The sequence below is a fragment of the Homo sapiens genome, chromosome 4, assembly GCF_000001405.40.
Source record: "Homo sapiens chromosome 4, GRCh38.p14 Primary Assembly".
Lineage (NCBI taxonomy): Eukaryota > Metazoa > Chordata > Mammalia > Primates > Hominidae > Homo > Homo sapiens.
This window is the reverse complement of record NC_000004.12, coordinates 169535669-169555569: the sequence shown is the minus strand read 5'-3', so window position 1 is coordinate 169555569 and position 19901 is coordinate 169535669. Positions and strand designations below refer to the sequence as shown.

General features: G+C 37.6%; 1 protein-coding gene across 23 annotated transcripts in view; it reads left to right on the top strand.

Moving 5' to 3' along the window:
• NEK1 (NIMA related kinase 1) overlaps positions 1-19901 on the top strand; it is a 219775-nt gene that overhangs the window by 57014 nt on the left and 142860 nt on the right. For all 23 annotated transcript variants that reach the window (NR_164630.1, NM_001440625.1, NM_001440624.1 and 20 more), the window contains one exon: positions 17659-17761. Coding sequence is in view for 22 of the 23 variants with exons in the window: in NM_001440625.1 (NP_001427554.1) it covers positions 17659-17761 (103 nt within the window). In the remaining variant the exon portion in view is untranslated. The remainder of the gene's footprint in view (positions 1-17658; positions 17762-19901) is intronic.

The following is a 19901-nucleotide window of genomic DNA, read 5'->3' as shown; positions in this document are numbered from 1 at the left end:
ATTTGGCCCTTGATTACTCTGAAAGCATGTAGCTTTCCAGTTCAGCCTGATTTTTGTGTCTTGTTTGTGGGTTTAGACTGAATATACTATTTAAAGGAACATGTGATAACATTCTGCCAACATAATTATAACATTTTATCACCCACTTCCTTTAAATAAATCAGGATATAAATCTAAATTGAATCACACTTTATGCAGAACCCCAGTGCATTTTTCGCCCTTTTCTTCATCACTTCAAAGCCTACTTTTCTCTTTGTTGTCTTAGCATGCTTTCTCTTCACCTTCATCTCTGATTTATAACTCTTTGTGATCCTGTTCATCATATTATTTCTTTTCTTCCATTGAATTAATAATGGTAACTGATTAATATGTACTTGAGCAGAGATAAATGATTGAGGTAAATATAAATTAACGTTTATATACACATTATAAATTATATACAGAAGCCTGATATATGAAGCATCTATTTTTTGAGAAAGGAAGGTTACAGACTTACACATATGCATATTTTTTATGAATAGTGAGACAAATTTTGTGGGAGGCTTTTATTCTCCAGAATTATTGATCTTTCTAGTATATATATTGTTTAATTAGTAAACTTTATTTTTAGAGCGATTTGGGGTTCACAGCAAAATGGAGTGGAAAGTACAGAGAGTTCCTATGTACCCCTTCCTCACACATGCACAACCTCTGTATTGACATCCTCATTTGAGTGATAACGTTTGTTATGATCAAACATCGATCCATTATCACCCAAAGTCCATAGTTTACATTAGAGTTTACTCTTGGTATTGTACACTCCATGGCTTTTGACGAATGTATAATTATAGGTATCCACCACTGTAATATCATACAAAATAATGTGACTGCCTTCAAAATCCCCTGTGCTCCACCTCCCTCCAACCTCCCTCCCAACTCTTGGCAACCACTGGTTGCTTTACTGCCTTCATAGTTTTAGCTTTTCTAGAATATCATATACTTGGAATCATATAGTATGTGGCCTTTCACACTGGCTTTTCTCACTTACTAATATGCATTTAAGGTGCCTCCGTATATCTTCATAGTTTCATACCTTATTTCTTCTTAACACTAATATCCCATTGTATTTATGTAGCATACTTTTTTTTTTTTTTTTTGGTAATTTTTTTTTTTGAGACAGGTTCTTGTTCTATCCCCAGGCTGGAGTGCAATGGCATGATCATGGCTCACTTGCAGCCTTGACCTCTGGGGCTTAAGTGACCCTCCCACCTCAGCCTCCTGAACAGCTGGGACTACAGGTGCTTGCCACCATGTGTGGCTGATTTTTTAAATTTTTTGTAGAATGGAGTCTTGCTATGTTGCCCAGGCTGGTCTTGAACTCCTGGGTTCAAGCAGTCCTCCTGCACTGGCCTCCCAAAGTGCTGGGATTACAAGCATGAGCCACCATGCCCAGCCAGAATGGATGTACTACACTTTATCCATTATTCTACTGAAGGACATCTTGGTTGCTTTTAAGTTATGGCAATTATGAATAAAGCTTCTACAAACATTTGTGTGTAGGTTTTTTTGTGGACATAAATTTTTTAAGTATTTAAACAGATGCCAAGAGGATGATTGCTGGATCATGTCTTAAGAGTATGTTTGATTTTGTAAGAAGTCACCAAGCTGTCTTCCAAAGTGGCTATACCATTATGCGTTCCTGCCAGCAGTGATTAAGAATTCCTGTTGCCCCACATCCTCTCCAGCATTTAGTGTTGTCAGTGTTTCGGATTTTGGCCAATTTAATCAGTGTGTAGTGGTATCTCATTTTAATTACAATTCCCTAATGACATATTCAACATTTTTTCATATGCTTCATGCCATCTGTATATCTTTCTTGATGAGTTGTCTGTTCAGGCCTTTTGCCCATTTTAAAATTCATTTTTATATTGTTGAGTTTTAAAAGTTCTTTGTATATTTTATTTAACAGTCCTTTATCAGGTATGTCTTTGGCAGATATTTTCTTTTTCTTTGTGGCTCATCTTCTCATTCCCTTAATATTTTGTTTTGCAGAGTGGAACTTTTTTGTTGTAATGAAGTCCAGCATATCAATTGTTTCTTTCATGGATTGTGTCTCTGGTGTTATAACTGAAAAGTTATCACCATACCCAAGTTCATTTGGGTTTTCTCCTATGTTATCTTCTAGGAGTTTTATAGTTTAATGTTTTATCTTTAGATCTGTGATCCATTTGAGTTAATTTTTGTGAAGGATATAAGGTCTGTGTCTAGATTCATTTTTTTGCATGTGGATGCCCAGTTGTTCCACATCTCTTGAAAAGACTATATTTGTTTCTTTGAATTGCCTTTGCTCCTTTGTCAGTGATTGGTTGACAAAGGATTTTTATGTCAGTCTATTTCTGTGCTCTCTGTTCTGTTCTACTGATTAAGTCTTGAAATCAGGTATTTTCAGTCATCCAGCTTTGTTCTTCAATACTGAGTTGGCTATTCCGGTTCTTTTGTCTTTCCATATAAGCTTTATAATAAGTTTGTCCATATCTAAAGACTAACATGCTGGGATTTTGATTGGGATTGTGTTGAATCTGTAGATCAGCTTGGGAAGAACTGACATCTTGACGATATTCAATCTTCCAATACTTCATGTTAGACCTGAAATATATCTTTGATGTATTTCATCAGAATTTTTTAGTTTTCCTCATACCCGTGCATATTTTTTTAGATTTGTAACCTATGTATTACATGTTGGGGGGTGCTAATGAAAGTGATAATGTGTTTTTAATTTCAAATTCTACTTGTTCCTTGTTTATATATAGGAAAGCAATTGACTTTTGTTTATTAACCTTCTATCCTGCAACTTTGCTATCATCACTTTTTTTGAGAGGGGTTTTGGTGTTTCTTTTGAATTTTCTACATAGACAATCATGTCATCTGCAAACAAAGACAGTTATATTTCTTCCTTCCCAGTCTGTATACCTTGTGTTTTCTTTCCTTGTCTTATTGCATTAGCTAGAACTTCCAATATGATGTTGAAAAGTAATGTTGAGAAGGACATCTTTGTCTTGTTCCTGATGTTGGCCGGAAAGCTTCAAGTTTCCATTAAATATGTTAGCTGTAGGTTTTTTGGAGATGTTCTTTATGAAATTGTGGAAGTTCCTCTCTAATTTAGGTTTTCTGAGATTTTTTAAAATCAGAAATGGGTGCTGGATTTTGTCAAATGCTTTTTTTTTTTTGGCATGTATAGATATGATCATGTGATTTTTCTTCTTTAGCTTATTGATGTGATGGATTACATTAATTGATCTTCAGATGTTGAAACAGCTGTATTTTATTATATTTTGCTATAAGAATAAAAATGCCCTTTCCTTTCATAGCTGGTAATCACTTATAAGGAAATGATTTAATTACTATGTGTATAATTTTCTCGTGATCTCTTTCTTAATAATACTCATTGTCTTAGATTTACATACACACTGTAATCTTTTCACTGACATGGAGCAACAACTTTCACTACTCCAAATTTAAACTATTGTCTTTGTTCTTCAGTGTTTTGCTTTACTGAAAGGCATTTAATCTTTTTTTCCTTCCTCTCATTCTTACATTCTTTTTAATACTCTTTCTTTTGCTGAATATTCAAGAATTTTCACGTATTTCTGTTTTAAAAATACCAACAGCTAACTACCTTATTATTGTCCTTTCATACAGGGTTCTCAGTCACCTGTTCATACCTCCTTTTTCTCTCCTTTTTGCTCAGTAAAAAAGAAAACCTGAAGAAAAATCACAAGAGGCTTTTTTTTTTCTTGTTTTACTGCTTGCTAAGTGATGTAGGTTAGTTTTAGAAAAATTGGAGTGTATAGGAGGAGAGTGTTAGGAAACAGGAAAGAAAATAATTCCAAATCCCTATAGTGGTGGTCACTGCTGATGAAGACTTTGGTTAATTTTCTTGCATACCTTTTCCTTTTCTTTTTCCCAAGATAGTGGAAACAAAATCATACATACAAATTTTTATCTTTTTAAATTTAGTGTTCTTACCATACATATTTCCCATGTTGTTTTCAATTTTTTAATATCTACATAAGATTCCAGTGCCTGAATGTGCTATGATTTATCTAACAAATCCCCTAGTATAACCAGTTGTTTGTAATCCTTCACCTTTTTGAACATTTTTCTGCCACATTTTATTCTTCATTTTTTATTATTGCCTTGAAATATAATCTTGTAAGGGCAATTATTTTGCTAAAAGATTTGGTCATCTATGTTCCTGATGAAGATTCTTGAAAGAAATATTACTAAGTTTTTTTCTAGAAAAGTGCCAGTTTGTACTTAACCCAACAGTGTATGATAGTGCCTGTTTTATTGCCCCTGGGCCAGTATTAATAACTTCTTAGGAGCTAAAGAAGTTTTTTTTGTAATAAAAAGTTTAAAATCAAAGTAGCATAGGAGATGAAGTTTTCACTGTATTCTGCACTGTTTAAACAATAGGGTAATGACAAACTAGATTCCTATAAGTAAAAGGTAGCAACTAATATTTAATTGGGCACTTGTGCAAGGACCTGTTCTAAGTAATTTACATATATAGTTAATCTTTACTATTGTGGATTCCGTATTTGCGAATTTACCTACTTGCTAAAATGTATTTGTAACCTCAAAATCAATATGTGTAGCACTGTCATGGTCATTCATGGGCATGGGCATAGGCTCAGCCCATGTCATTCATGAACCTGGGGTCATTCATGGGCTCAGAATAGCAAAAGTGGCCCAAAAGCATAGTGCTGAAATGTCAAAAGGCAGCGATGTGCTTTAGGGAGAAAATATGTGTGTTAGACTTCATTTGGGCATTAGTTATGCCACTATTGGCCATGAATTCAGTGTTAATGAATCCACAATATAATGGATCCAGGAGTCTAACTCTGCATTTACCCTAGGAGCAGTGGTTCTGTTCAGTATTCATGGAGAGTTTATAGAACATAGCTATGAGAATAATGAGAATTGAATGTATTATTAACTCATTTAATCATCACCAATACTGTGAGGCAGGAATTATTATTTTTGCTATTTTACAGATTAAGAAATTGAGGCTATGTGTAATTAAGTAACTTGTTGAAGGTCACATTACTATTAGTGCAACCAGGAGTTGAAGCTGGACAGTTTGGTTCCTGACCTCACTCACTTAACTGTTGTACCATATTGACTTTATTAAGTGTATTAGTCTGTTCTCACACTGCTAACAAAGTCATACCCGAGACTGGGTAATTTATAAAGAAAAAGAGGTCTAATGGAATCACAGTTCCACATGGCTGGGTAGGCCTCACAATCATGGTAGAAGGCAAAGGAGAAGTAAAGTCATGTCTTGCAGCAGACAAGAGAGAGAGCATGTGTAGGGGAACTCTCCTTTATAAAACCATCAGATCTCGTGAGACTTATTCACTGTCACCACAACAGCTCAGGAAAGACCCGCCATCATGATTCAGTTACCTCCCACCAGGTCCCTCCCACAACACATGGGAATTATGGGAGTTTCAATTTGAGATTTGGGTGGGGACACAGCCAAACTGTATTGCTAAATCTTGAAAAATTTTATGAGGAATAATTAAAGAATCTGAGAATTGCACTTTGGGAGGTCAAGGTGGGCAGATCACTTGAGATCAGGAGCTCAAGACCAGCCTGCCAACATGGTGAAACCCCATCTCTACTAAAATAAATAAATAAATGAACTGGGCATGGTGGTGGGTGCCTGTAATCTCAGCAACTCAGGAGGCTGAGGCAGGAGAATCACTTGAACCTGGGAAGCGGAGGTGGCAGTGAGCTGAGATCACGCCACTGCACTCCAGCCTGGGTGACAGAGTGAGACTCCGTCTTAAACAAACAAAAAAAGACCGGGTGTCGTGGCTTACACCTGTAATCCCAGCACTTTGGGAGGCCGAGGCAGGCAGATCACCTGAGGTCAGGAGTTCAAGACTAGCCTGGCCAACGTGGCAAAACCCTGTCTCTACTAAAAATACAAAAATTAGCCAGGCATGGTGGCGCATGCCTGTAATCCCAGCTACTTGGCAGGCTGAGGCAGGAGAATTGCTTGAACCCAGGAGGCAGAGGTTGCAGTGAGCCGAGATCACGCCATTGCACTCCAGCCTTGGCGACAAGAGCAAAATTCTGTCTCAAACAAAAACAAAAGATGGGCAGCTGGCAAGATGGCCGAATAGGAACAGCTCTGGTCTGTAGCTCCCAACAAGATCGGCACAGAAGGCGTGTGATTCCTGCATTTCCAACTGAGGTACCCAGTTCATCTCATTGGAACTGGTTGGACAGTGTGTACAGCCCAAGGAGGGCGAGCTGAAGCAGGGTGGGGTGTCACCTCACCCAGGAACACCAGGGTTTGGAGAACTCCCTCTCCTAGCCAAGGGAAGCCATTAGGAACTGTACCGTGCACTCTGGCCCAGATACTGTGCTTTTCCGACGGTCTTCACAACCCACAGACCAGGAGATTCCCTCCAGTCCCTATGCCACCAGGGCCCTGGGTTTCCAGCACAAAACTGGGCTGCCGTTTGGGCAGACACCGAGGTAGCCAAAGGAGTTTTTTTTCATACCCTAGTGGCACCTGGAACACCAGTGAGACATAACTGTTCACTCCCCTAGAAAGGGGGCTGAGGCCAGGCAGCCAAGTGGTCTGGCTTGGTGGGTCCCACCCCCACAGAGCCCAGCAAGCTCAGATCCACTGGCTTGAAATTCTGGATGCCGGCACAGCAGTCTGAACTCTACCTGGGACACTGTAGCTTGGAGCGGGGAGGGGTGTCCACCATTGCTGAGGCTTGAGTAGGTGGTTTTACCCTCATGGTGTAAACAAAGCCACTGGGAAGTTTGAACTGGGAGGAGCCCACCGCAGCTCATCAAGGCCACTGTAGCCAGACTGCCTTTCTAGATTCCCTCCCCTCTGGGCAGGGCATCTTTGAAAAAAAGGCAGTAGCCCCAGTCAGGGTCTTATAGATAAAACCCCCACCTCCCTGGGACAGAGCACCTGGGGGAAGGGGCAGTTGTGGGCACAGCTTCAGCAGACTTAAACATCCCTGCTTGGCAGCTCTGAAGAGAGCAGCAGATCTCCCAGCACAGAGTTTGAGCTCTGATAAGGGACAGTGGGCCTCCTCAAGTGGGTCCCTGACCCCTGTGTATCCTGACTGGGAGACACCTCCCCAGTAGGGGCCGACAGACTCCTCATACAGGAGAGATCTGGCTGGCATCTGGCGGGTGCCCCTTTGGGACGAAGCTTCCAGAGGAAGGAACAGGCAGCAATCTTTGCTGTTCTTCAGCCTCTGCCAGTGATACCCAGGCGAACACAGTCTGGAGTGGACCTCTAGCAAATTCCAGCAGACCTGCAGCAGAGGGCTCTGACTGTTAGAAGGAAAACTAACAAACAGAAAGGAATAGTATCAAAAAGGACATACACTCAGAGACCCCATCTGAAGGTCGCCAACTTCAGAGACCAAAGGTGGATAAATCCACAAAGATGGGGAGAAACCAGCGCAAAAAGGCTGAAAATTCCAAAAACCAGAACACCTCTTCTCCTCCAAAGGATCACAACTCCTTGACAGCAAGGGAACAAAACTGGACAGAGAATGAGTTTGATGAATTGACAGAAGTAGGCTTCAGGAGGTGGGTAATAACAAACTCCTTTGAGCTAAAGGAACATGTTCTAACCCAATGCAAGGAAGCTAAGAACCTTGAGAAAAGGTTAGACAAATTGCTAACTAGAATAACCAGTTTAAAGAAGAACATAAATGACCTGATGGAGCTGAAAAACACTGCATGAGAACTTCGTGAAGCATACACAAGTATCAATAGCCGAATCAATCAAGTGGAAAAGGATATCAGAGATTGAAGATCAACTCAATGAAATAAAGCGAGAAGACAAGATTAGAGAAAAAAGTGAAAAGAAACGAACAAAGCCTCCAAGAAATATGGGAGTATGCGAAAAGACCAAATCTACATTTGTTTGGTGTACCTGAAAGTGACGGGGAGAATGAAACCAACTTGGAAAACACTCTCCAGGATATAATCCAGGAGAACTTCTGCAACCTAGCAAGGCAGGCCAGCATTCAAATTCAGGAAGTATAGAGAACACCACAAAGATACTCCTCGAGATCAGCAACCCCAAGACACATAATTGTCAGATGCACCAAGGTTGAAATGAAGGAAAAAATGTTAAGAGCCACCAGAGAGAAAGGTCAGGTTACCGGTAAAGGGAAGCCCATCGGACTAACAGCAGATCTCTCTGCAGAAACCCTACAAGCCAGAAGAGAGTGGGGGTCAATATTCAACATTCTTCAAGAAAATAATTTTCAACCCAGAATTTCATATCCAGCCAAACTAAGCTTCATAAGTGAAGGAGAAATAAAATTCTTACAGAAAAGAAAATGCTGGGAGATCTTGTCTCCACCAGGCTTGCCTTACAAGAGCTCCTGAAGGAAGCACTAAACATGGAAAGGAACAACTGGTACCAGCCACTGCAAAAGCATATCAGAATGTAAGCACCATAGATACTATGAAGAAACTGCATCAACTAATGGGCAAAATAACCAGCTAGCATCATAATGGCAGGATCTAATTCACACATAACAATATTAGCCTTAAATGTAAATGGGCTAAATGCTGCATTAACAGACACAGACTGGCAAATTGGATAAAGAGTCAAGACCCATCAGTGTGCTGTATTCAGGAGACCCATCTCATGTGCAAAGACACGTGTAGGCTCAAAATAAAGGGATGGAGGAATATTTACCAAGCAAATGGAAAACAAAAAAAGCAGGGGTTGCAATCCTAGTCTCTGATAAAACAGACTTTAAACCAACAAAGATCAAACGAGACAAAGAAGGGCATTGCGTAATGGTAAAGGGATCAATGCAACAAGAAGAGCTAACTATCCTAAATATATACGTACCCAATACAGGAGCACCCAGATTCATAAAGCAAGTTCTTAGTGACCTAAAAAGAGACATAGACTCCCACACAGTAGTGGGAGACTTTAACACCCCACTGTCAATATTAGATCAATGAGACACAAAATTAACAAGGATATCCAGGACTTGAACTCAGCTCTGGACTGAGCGGACCTAATAGACATCTACAGAACTCTCCACCCCAAATCAACAGGGTATACATTCTTCTCAGCACCACATAGCATTTATTCTAAAATTGACCATGTAATTGGAAGTAAAACACTCCTCAGCAAATGCAAAAGAATGGAAATCATAACAAAGAGTCTCAGACCACAGTGCAGTCAAATTAGAACTCAGGATTAAGAAACTCACTCAAAATCGCACAACTCCATGGAAACTGAACAACCTGCTCCTGAATGACTACTGGGTAAATAAAGAAATTAAGGCAGAAATAAATAAATTCTTTGAAACCAATGAGAACAAAGACACAACGTACCAGAATCTCTGGGACACATTTAAAGCAGTGTGTAGAGGGAAATTTATAGCACTAAATGCCCACAGGAGAAAGCGGGAAAGATCTACAATTGACACCCTAACATCACAATTAGAAGAATCAGAGAAGAAAGTCATTGGTAGCTTGATGGGGATGGCATTGAATCTGTAAATTACCTTGGGCAGTATGGCCATTTTCACGATATTGATTCTTCCTACCCGTGAGCATGGAATGTTCTTCCATTTGTTTGTATCCTCTTTTATTTCCTTGGGTGGTTTGTAGTTCTCCTTGAAGTGGGCGAAGGACATGAACAGACACTTCTCAAAAGAAGACATTTATGCAGCCAAAAAACACATGAAAAAATGCTCATCATCACTGGTCATCAGAGAAATGCAAATCAAAACCACTATGAGATATTATCTCACACCAGTTAGAATGGCAATCATTAAAAAGTCAGGAAACAACAGGTGCTGGAGAGGATGTGGAGAAATAGGAACACTTTTACACTGTTGGTGGGACTGTAAACTAGTTCAACCATTGTGGAAGTCAGTGTGGCGATTCCTCAGGGATCTAGAACTAGAAATACCATTTGACCCAGCCATCCCATTACTGGGTATATACCCAAAGGACTATAAATCATGCTGCTATAAAGACACATGCACACATATGTTTATTGCGGCATTATTCACAATAGCAAAGACTTGGAACCAACCCAAATGTCCAACAATGATAGACTGGATTAAGAAAATGTGGCATATATACACCATGGAATACTATGCAGCCATAAAAAATGATGAGTTCATATCCTTTGTAGGGACATGGATGAAATTGGAAATCATTCTCAGTAAACTATCGCAAGAACAAAAAACCAAACACTGCATATTCTCACTCATAGGTGGGAATTGAACAATGAGATCACCTGGACACATGAAGGGGAATACCACACTCTGGGGACTGTGGTGGGGTGGGGGGAGGGGGGAGGGATAGCATTGGGAGATATATCTAAGGCTAGATGACGAGTTAGTGGGTGCAGCGCACCAGCATGGCACATGTATACATATGTAACTAACCTGCACAATGTGCACATGTACCCTAAAACTTAAAGTATAAAAAAAAAAAAAAAGAATCAGAGAAGCAAGAGCAAACAAATTCAAAAGCTAGAAGACAAGAAATAACTAAGATCAGAGCAGAACTGAAGGAGATAGAGACACAAAAAACCCTTCAAAAAATCAATGAATCCAGGAGCTGGTTTTTTTTTAAAGATCAACAAAATTGATAGATCACTAGCAAGACTAATGAAGAAAAGAGAGAAGAATCAAATAGATGCAATAAAAAATGATAAAGGGGGTATCGCCATTGATCCCACAGAAATACAAACTACCATCAGAGAATACTATAAATACCTCTACACAAATAAACTAGAAAATCTGAAGAAATGGATAAATTCCTAGACACATACACCCTCCCAAGACTAAACCAGGAAGAAGTCAAATCCCTGAATAGACCAATAACAAGTTCTGAAATTGAGGCAGTAATTAATAGCCTACCAAGCAAAAAAAAAAAAAAAAAAAAAAAAACCATGACCAGACAGATTCACAGCCGAATTCTACCAGAGATACAAAGAGGAGCTGGTACCATTCCTTCTGAAACTATTGCAAACAATAGAAAAAGAGGGAATCCTCCCTAGCTCATTTTATGAGGCCAGCATCATCCTGATACCAAAGCCTGGCAGAGACACAGCAAAAAAAGAGAATTTTAGACCAATATCCCTGATGAACATTGTTGCGAAAATCCTCAATAAAATACTGGCAAACTGAGTCCAGCAGCACATCAAAAAGCTTATCCACCATGATCAAGTTGGCTTCATCCCTGGGAGGCAAGGCTGGTTCAACATCCACAAATCAATAAACATGATCCGTCACATAAACAGAACTAATGACAAAAACCCCATGATTATCTCAATAGATGCAGAAAAGGCCTTTGACAAAATTTAACAGCCCTACTTTCCAAATAATAACTAGGCATTGATGGAACAGATCTTAATAAGAGCTATTTATGACAAACCCACAGCCAATATCATAATGGACAGAAACTGAAGCATTCCCTTTGAAAACCAGCACAAGACAAGGATACCCTCTCTCACCACTCCTATTCAACATATCATTGGAAGTTCTGGCCAGGGCAATCAGGCAAGAGATAGAAATAAAGGGTATTCCAATAGGAAAAGAGGAAGTCAAATTGTCTCTGTTTGCAGATAACATGGATTGTATATTTAGAAAATCCCATCATCTCAGCCCAAAATCTCCTTAAGCTGATAAGCAACTTCAACAAAGTCTCAGCATACAAAATCAATGTGCAAAAATCACAAGCATCCCTATACAGCAATAACAGACAAACAGCCAAATTATGAGTCAACTCCCATTCACAATTGCTACAAAGAGAATAAAATACCTGGGAATCCAACTTACAAGGTATGTGAAGGACCTCTTCAAGGAGAACTACAAACTACTGCTCAAGGAAATAAGAGAGGACAGAAACAAATGGAAAAACATTCCATGCTCATGGATAGGAAGAACCAATATTGTGAAAATGACTATACTGCCCAAAGTAATTTATAGATTCAATGCTATCCCCATCAAGCTACCATTGACTTTCTTCACAGAATTAGCAAAAACTACTTTAAATTTCGTATGGAACCAAAAAAGAGCCCACATAGCCAAGACAATCCTAAGCAAGAAGAACAAAGCTGGAGGCATCCTGCTACCTGACTTCAAACTATACTACAAGGGTACGGTAACCAAAACAGCATGGTACTGGTACCAAAACAGATATATAGACCAATGGAACAGAACAGAGGCCTTAGAAATAATGCCACACATCTACAACCATCTGCTCTTTAACAAACCCGATAAACAAGTGGTGGGGAAAGGATTCCCTATTTAATAAATGGTGTTGGGAAAACTGGCTAGCCATATGCAGAAAGCTGAGACTGGATCCCCTCCTTACATCTTATACAAAAATTAACTCAAGATGGATTAAAGATTTAAACATAAGACCTAAAACCCTAAAAACCCTAGAAGAAAACCTAGCCAAAACCATTCAGGACATAGGCATGGTCAAAGACTTCATGACTAAAACACCCAAAACAATGGCAACTAAAAATAAAATTGACAAATGGGATCTAATTAAACTAAAGAGCTTCTGCACAGCAAAAGCAACTATCATCAGAGTGAACAGGCAACCTACAGAATGGGAGAAAAATTTTGCAATCTATTCATCTGACAAAGGGCTAATATCCAGAATCTACAAATAACTTAAATTTACAAGAAAAAACCCCATCAATAAGCGGGCAAAGGATATGAACAGACACTTCTCAAAAGAAGACATTTATGCAGTCAACAAACATGAAAAAAAAAAAGCTCTTCATCACTGGTCACTAAAGAAATGCAAATCAAAACCACAATGAGATACCATCTCACACCAAATGGTGATAATTAAAAAGTCAGGAAAGAACAGATGCTGGAGAGGATGTAGAGAAATAGGAATGCTTTTACACTGTTGGTGGGAGTGTAAATTAGTTCAACCATTGTGGAAGACAGTGTGGCAATTCCTCAAGGATCTAGAACTAGAAATGCCATTTGACCCAGCAATCCCATTACTGGGTATATACCCAAAGGATTATAAATCATTCTGCTATAAAGACACATGCATATGTATGTTTATTGTGGCACTATTCACAATAGCAAAGACTTGGAACCAACCCAAATGCCCATCAGGATAGACTGGATAAAGAAAGTGTGGCACATATACACCATGGAATACTATGCAGCCATAAAAAAGAATGAGTTCATGTCCTTTGCAGGGACATGGTAACCATCATTCTCAGCAAACTAACACAAGAACAGACAACCAAACACCACATGTTCTCACTCATAAGTGGGAGTTGAACAATGAGAACACATGGACACACGAAGGGGAACATCACACACTGGGGCCGGTCGGGGGCTAGGGGATGGATAGCATCTGGAGAAACACCTAATGTAGATGACAGGTTGATGGATACAGCAAACCTCCATGGCATGTGTATACCTATGTAACCTGCACTTTTTGCACATGTACCCCAGAACTTAAAGTGTAATAAAACAAAAAGAGTCTGGGAATTTAGCCATCATTAAAGAAATCATGGTTAAAGGAGCAAACTTGGAAGAATTGACTGACTTGTCATGTAAAAGAGGAACTAGACCCAGGGTGGAAATATAAAGACACATTTCGGTCAGATATGAGGACTGTTCAAAGGTTGGATCATCGTGGGGTTTAATGAACATCTTCAAACTGGAAGTATTAACCAAAGGTTGAAATGACAGTGTGTCATGGGCTATTTAGATGGGAATATGGGAATATTTTATTCAATGAAAACTTGGACTAGTTAATACCGAAGGTTGCTTCCAATCTGAATGGTTCTTTTGTCTTGTACTGTTTAGTGGTCACTGGCATTATAGGACATTTTCTCTGCACGCTGTCACAATTTCTGATTATTATAATTTGTATGTCATTTTCATTCTTGATTCATTCCTTTCCATGATTCAAACTGAATCAGCAAACTGAAATCTGTAGGCATCTAAGACTCTTTCAGATTCTCTTTTCTTCATAATCACCTATATTTGCCTGTTTCTTCTTTATGGTAGTAGTTATTTTTCCTCTTCCTTTCTTATCAGTAACTCTGACCAGTCTACCTTTGCTTATATGCAATTTCTTAATAACATACCTCTTCTGTTAGGATTTTTAATATTATAAGCTCAAGCCATGTACTGTTGAAATGGCTGAAGCCACTTTTTAATAAATTACAGAGTGCCACCTAACATTTGTGTTTTTATGGTGCTTTTACTTTTTCCAAGTCCTTCTGTCTGTATTGCTTCATTTAATTTGGATAAAACTAACAACAGTTTCGTTCCATTACATCGACATGCCCCTTAAGAGGAAGCTAAATGAATAAACCCTTCTACATCATTTTTTCATCTCAGTAATCCTGTACCACCCCATCTCTTCTGCCCAATACCACATTACTCATTTTTATTTCTCAGATTATCTCCATTACCTAGAGTGCTACTTATTTTTATGTTGTCTTCAACTTTATCCTTGAGAAGTTTTAAATTTTCTTTATCAGTAAAGAATTTGAACCATGGATGTGAGGCATGCAGTTCCCAGCCAAATCTTGTTGCTTATTCATGTGTTTACAATAAGAAAAGGAAAGAAAATAACTTACTCCCTTTTCCTCCCCTTCTCTTGTCAGGGCTAAAAAAAAAAAGGAAAGTTTGTCTTGGAATAATTATTTATTGATAAAAGAACACTATACTTCTGTTATCTCTTTGTTTGATGTCCCTTATCCTGTTACATTATACTTTTTAGTCCATTTTAATGTCTTTGTGTTTTACTATCCAATTCCTAATTTCTTACTATATTTGCATTTATATTATCATCCTCTTATCCTTAATCGGGGTCAGTGTTTTACTGATTTTAAGTGGTATAATTCTGGAACTCAAAAGAAATAGTCTAATTTTTGTAAAACAGAGCATGCTCACGTGAATTCTTAATAGTGTTTAATGAAGAAAATTACTATCAAGAAGTAAACTGACTGTTTTCTCTTAATCCCCATGATCCCAGCACAAGCGTACTTTATACCCATAGTTTAGTAGAGTTGTATTACTTTAGAGAGGACTAAGCATGTGGGTTATGGACTATTTTTGGTGTATGTGAAGTAGTAAACACTAATGCATATGAAAAATAAGGACACAGATTTTATAGGTTTTTAAACAGTGTAAGGAGCCATAAAATTGATTTTGTCTTTTATTCTATTAATATATGTATTACGCTGATTTTCATATGTTGAACCAACCTTGCCTCCCTGGAACTCTGTTTTATTCATCTTTATATCTTTTGGCAGATATAATGTGGCAAATAGTTGACACTCAATATTTGTTTAATAAATTATAGGAAAAAAGAATTAGTGTTAAACAAAAGCACTACAGTTATTAAGTTTGTGTTTGAAAGTAGCCAGTAATGTAAACCTGCTTATTTAAGCCAGCGTAGGAAGCAGCTGTTCAATGAAGCAAAATTTATAAATCATATAAATACATAGAGCAAGTAGTGTTATATATGCATAAATGGTGTGAAAATCTATAAATCAAAGCTGTTATACAGATGACCAGGTTCTTAGTAAACAATTTTGTGCAACCGCTGTTTAACCTATGCCAATTGTAAGTTCAGGCTAACAATCACTGGACACAGAAAGCATCTTAAGATGGGAAGTCAAACATGCTTTACTTCCGTAAAAGTTAGAGAAGGAAGTTGATACAATCAGGATACACAGCAGAGAGATCACCTATCTTGTCTACTTGCAGGTGGTGGTGTAAACTTCCAGGACCCCCCAAAAGTGCCTTATCTGTAACCATAGAGTTTCAGATGACATGTCTGAGCATCATACCTGAAGGTTCATCTGCCTTCCTCAGGCCTAGCCTTACGTAGACGGGCTATAGCAAAACAGAATACAGCCTTACCTTGATATATGCAGGAAACAAGTTGCATTACGACCAGATATACCTTATTAATTTTATGTCAGAGCATTACTCCTGAAGATTTATCTGCCTCCTCAGGCCCAGCCTTACATAGATGGGGATGTGGCAGAACAGGGTACAGTCCTACTTTGATATATACAGGAAATAAGTTGCATTCTGACCAGATATACCTTATTAATCTCATGTCAGAGCATCACATTTGAAGGTTTATCTGCCTTCCTTAGGCCCAGCCTTATATAAATGGGGCTATATAGCAAAGTAGGATATAGCCTTACATTGATATATGCAGGAGATAAATTGCATTCAGAACAGATATGCGTTATTAATCTCAGAATTTTCCAGTGGCTAATGGGACTGTTAGGGGATGGCACAGGTACACTACAGAGGCATTGTGTTCAGCCTACTCAAGCTAACATGGCATTGGTGAAGTGGATTTCTGGATTTAGCGATGTGAAACTAGATTAAGATTTAGCTACCCAGACACATCTGAGAGCAACAGTAATAGGCCTTCAAACCAGCTATAGAGATTATCTAATTCTAGAAAATTCCCATGATGGAAATTTCGTAAGAATCTTTTTTAAGTACTACATGAGGTAAATGAACCTTAGATCACTGTCATTCATAGTTATGTGATGGAATAGATTTTTAGGTTTTACAGCTTAGTTTCATATTTCAAATATTTTTATGTTTCAGTTAGTAATCGTTGCCAAAGAATGTAAAAGAAGCAGTTATTTGGTATATGAAAATCAGAAGTGCTCAAATCTTACTAGGAGACTGAGATTTATTTCATGTAATTTTCAGGACATAATTTAGTTATGGTCCCAAAGAAAGTCTTTATAGGAAGTTTCTGTGCCTTACTAGCCAAAATACAAGTAGAAACACGGCCAACAACTTGCTCATCTTTCTTCCTTACCTCCAAAATTAACTACAATTGATGCCATGCTATGAGTTCTCTGATTACTGGGGCTGGGTTTTATTTATATTTGTATCTTCCATACTTAGCAAGGTAACTAACACAATATATAGTAGATGCTTAATCAGTGTTTGTTATTGATACTTTTTATTTATAGTCTAAGATCAGCATGTTTACATTCTTTCATAATTGTCAGAGAAAGACACAAAAGTAAAATTGGAAAAGATTAAAACAAATAACTGTTTTTAATCTTTTCCCTAATCTATCCACTTTACTTTTTTATAGTTGTGATATTTAGGGAATTCAAACATAGCTTTTTACTGTATTTTTGAAAATTCATACTTAAAGCATTTGTTCTTTTTGTTAATTTTTTAAATTGCTGCTGTACTGCTTTTATTTGACTTCGCTGCTAAGATTCTTATTATATTTGATACAGAGTTCTGAAATAAACTTGGAAACTTCTCAGATTCTTCCGTAATTAAGTGTATCTAAAATAATTGTATATGTTTAAATAAGTAGAATAGATCAAATAAATATAAAAGAAACTATCTTGTGAAGACTTAGAGTAGAATTATAGATTTTACTTGTATTGAAAATAATAAAGAATGTGATTTAGGTAGTAGATGTCAATATATATATAGTGATTTCTTCATTACAGAGATAGTGTTTCATCAGCCTTCATATTCTGAAATGAAAAAAAAATTTAGGATAAATGTAATTTTTAACTTTTTAGAATATTTTCTGTTCAGGATGGCTGACTTTGTGATTTGTCCAAATTAGGCAAAAAGGGCAGCTAGCTGTAGAAAGAGCTAAACAAGTAGAAGAGTTCCTGCAGCGAAAACGGGAAGCTATGCAGAATAAAGCTCGAGCCGAAGGACATATGGTATGAATTTTGTTTGTTTCTGAGATTTTGAATGTATTAGTATTCCAAGTGAAGGTCTGGAATAAGGTAAGTGTAAGTAAAAAGAATGACAGTCTAACAATCTAGGCATAATAAGAGGCAGTAAAGATACTCAGAAGTCATTTGCAGAGTATAAAATTGTGATATCTTAACTCATTTACCTTCTCTTTTGCTATCTTTTATACCAGGGGTGGAATTCTATTGTTGCTTTGGTTAATTGGGAGTAAGTTCATACCTGTATCCTTCCTTTAAAAGAGTAGAAATGGGTATAGCAACCCAGATAAAGAAATAAGTTCTTGGATTGCTGCATGTTTTTTTTCCCCAATATGCTTTTGGTTTTACATACTTTTAAGTGGCAAAGAATTTTAGAAGAAAAATGGGAAATAAGTATTTGGGTAAGTATATATGTAAACTATGCATTTGCTCAAAAGCAAATTAGAAGTAGAATTTTAGTAAAGTCTCCAGTTATGCCATTTAACTAAATTAAGTTATGTATCCAAGAAAATATTAAGTTTTTAGGTAATCATTTCAATCATTAAAACTCTGTTTTCTCTTTGGTATTTAACAGGATTTGAGGTAGTTAAAACTCTTCATAGTTTGATTTGTAGAGGTTCACAAATGCCTTTTGACATTTTGTCTACAGAACAACTGATGATTATGTCTGTCCACTCAGCAACCCATGAAGCAGCACACTCATATAAGAAATAGGTTAATTAGATGGTAATATATTTTAATTAGACTTATTACATATCTGTTGTAAGTTCGTAAGTGGTATCTTTGTGAGTTAATGTAGTTCAATATAGTATGTTTTTTCTTTGAAACAATGTCATAGAAACATAGTTAAAATTTTTGAACAGTTACCCTTTATATTGTTAACACAGATACTTAAATTTGTTTTTCTACATCCGGAATTAATCTATATTTGTATCTTTCCTCTAGATAGTAGATGAGAACCTCCAGCCTTTTCCTTTGCTCATATCTCCCATGTTAATAGCAGCTGGAATTTTGGTTATAGATTTTTACTTAAAATATTTTTAAAAGAATTGGTAGGCTTACTGAAATTTACTAATTTATTTTCTCAACATCATTCCTTATGTCTTACTATTCCCCCCTCAGTTTATTTTTTTTCATGCTGGAGAATCTGGTAATTTTTTTTTAGAGGAACTTTCCAAGATTTATTGGAAAATGCTCTTATTTTGTCCTCATGCTTGAATGATAATTTGTAATGGTGGTCTGCTGGTGAATTTGATTAGCATTTGTATGTCTGAAAAAGTATTTTGCTTTTGTTGTTAACAAATATTTTGACTGGATATTGTATTATAGTTGAAACTTTTTACCTCTGGCTTGCCCTGTTTCTGACAAGAACTAAGCATTCATTCTTATCTTTTTCCTTGGTATATAATGTATCTTTTTTCTCTACTTTAAAATTTTTCTCTTTATCACTAGAATCAATTTGATTATGATGTGGTTTGTGTATTTTTTTTTTTTTTTTTTGAGACAAACTCTCACTCTGTCACCCAGGCTAGAGTGCAGTGGCGTGATCTTGGGTCAGTGCAACCTCTACCTCCCTGGCTCAAGTGATTCTCATGCCTCAGCCTCCCAAGTAGCTGAGATCACAGGTGTGTACCACCACGCCCATCTAAGTTTTGTATTTTTTTAGTAAAGATGGGGTTTCACCATGTTGGCCAGGCTGGTCTTGAACTCCAGACCTCAGGTGATCCATCTGCCTTGGCCTCCGAAAGTGCTGTGATTACAGACATGAGCCACTGCACCCTGCCTTGTGTAGTTTTCTTCATGTTTATTTTGTATAGGGGTTCATTGAGCTTCTCAGATCTGTGGTTTATGATTTTCATCAAATCTGGAAATTTTTCATCCATTATTTCTTTTTCTTTTCTTTTTTTTTTTTTTTTGACACGGAGTTTAACTCTTGTTGCCCAGGCTGGAATGCAGTGGCGCAGTCTCGGCTCACTGCAACCTCCGCCTCCCGGGTTCAAGTGATTCTCCTGCCTCAGCCTTCTGAGTAGCTGGGATTCCAGGCGTCTGTCACCACGCTGGGCTAATATTTTGTATTTTTAGTAGAGACAGGGCTTCACCTTGTTGGCCAGGCTGGTCTCAAACTCCT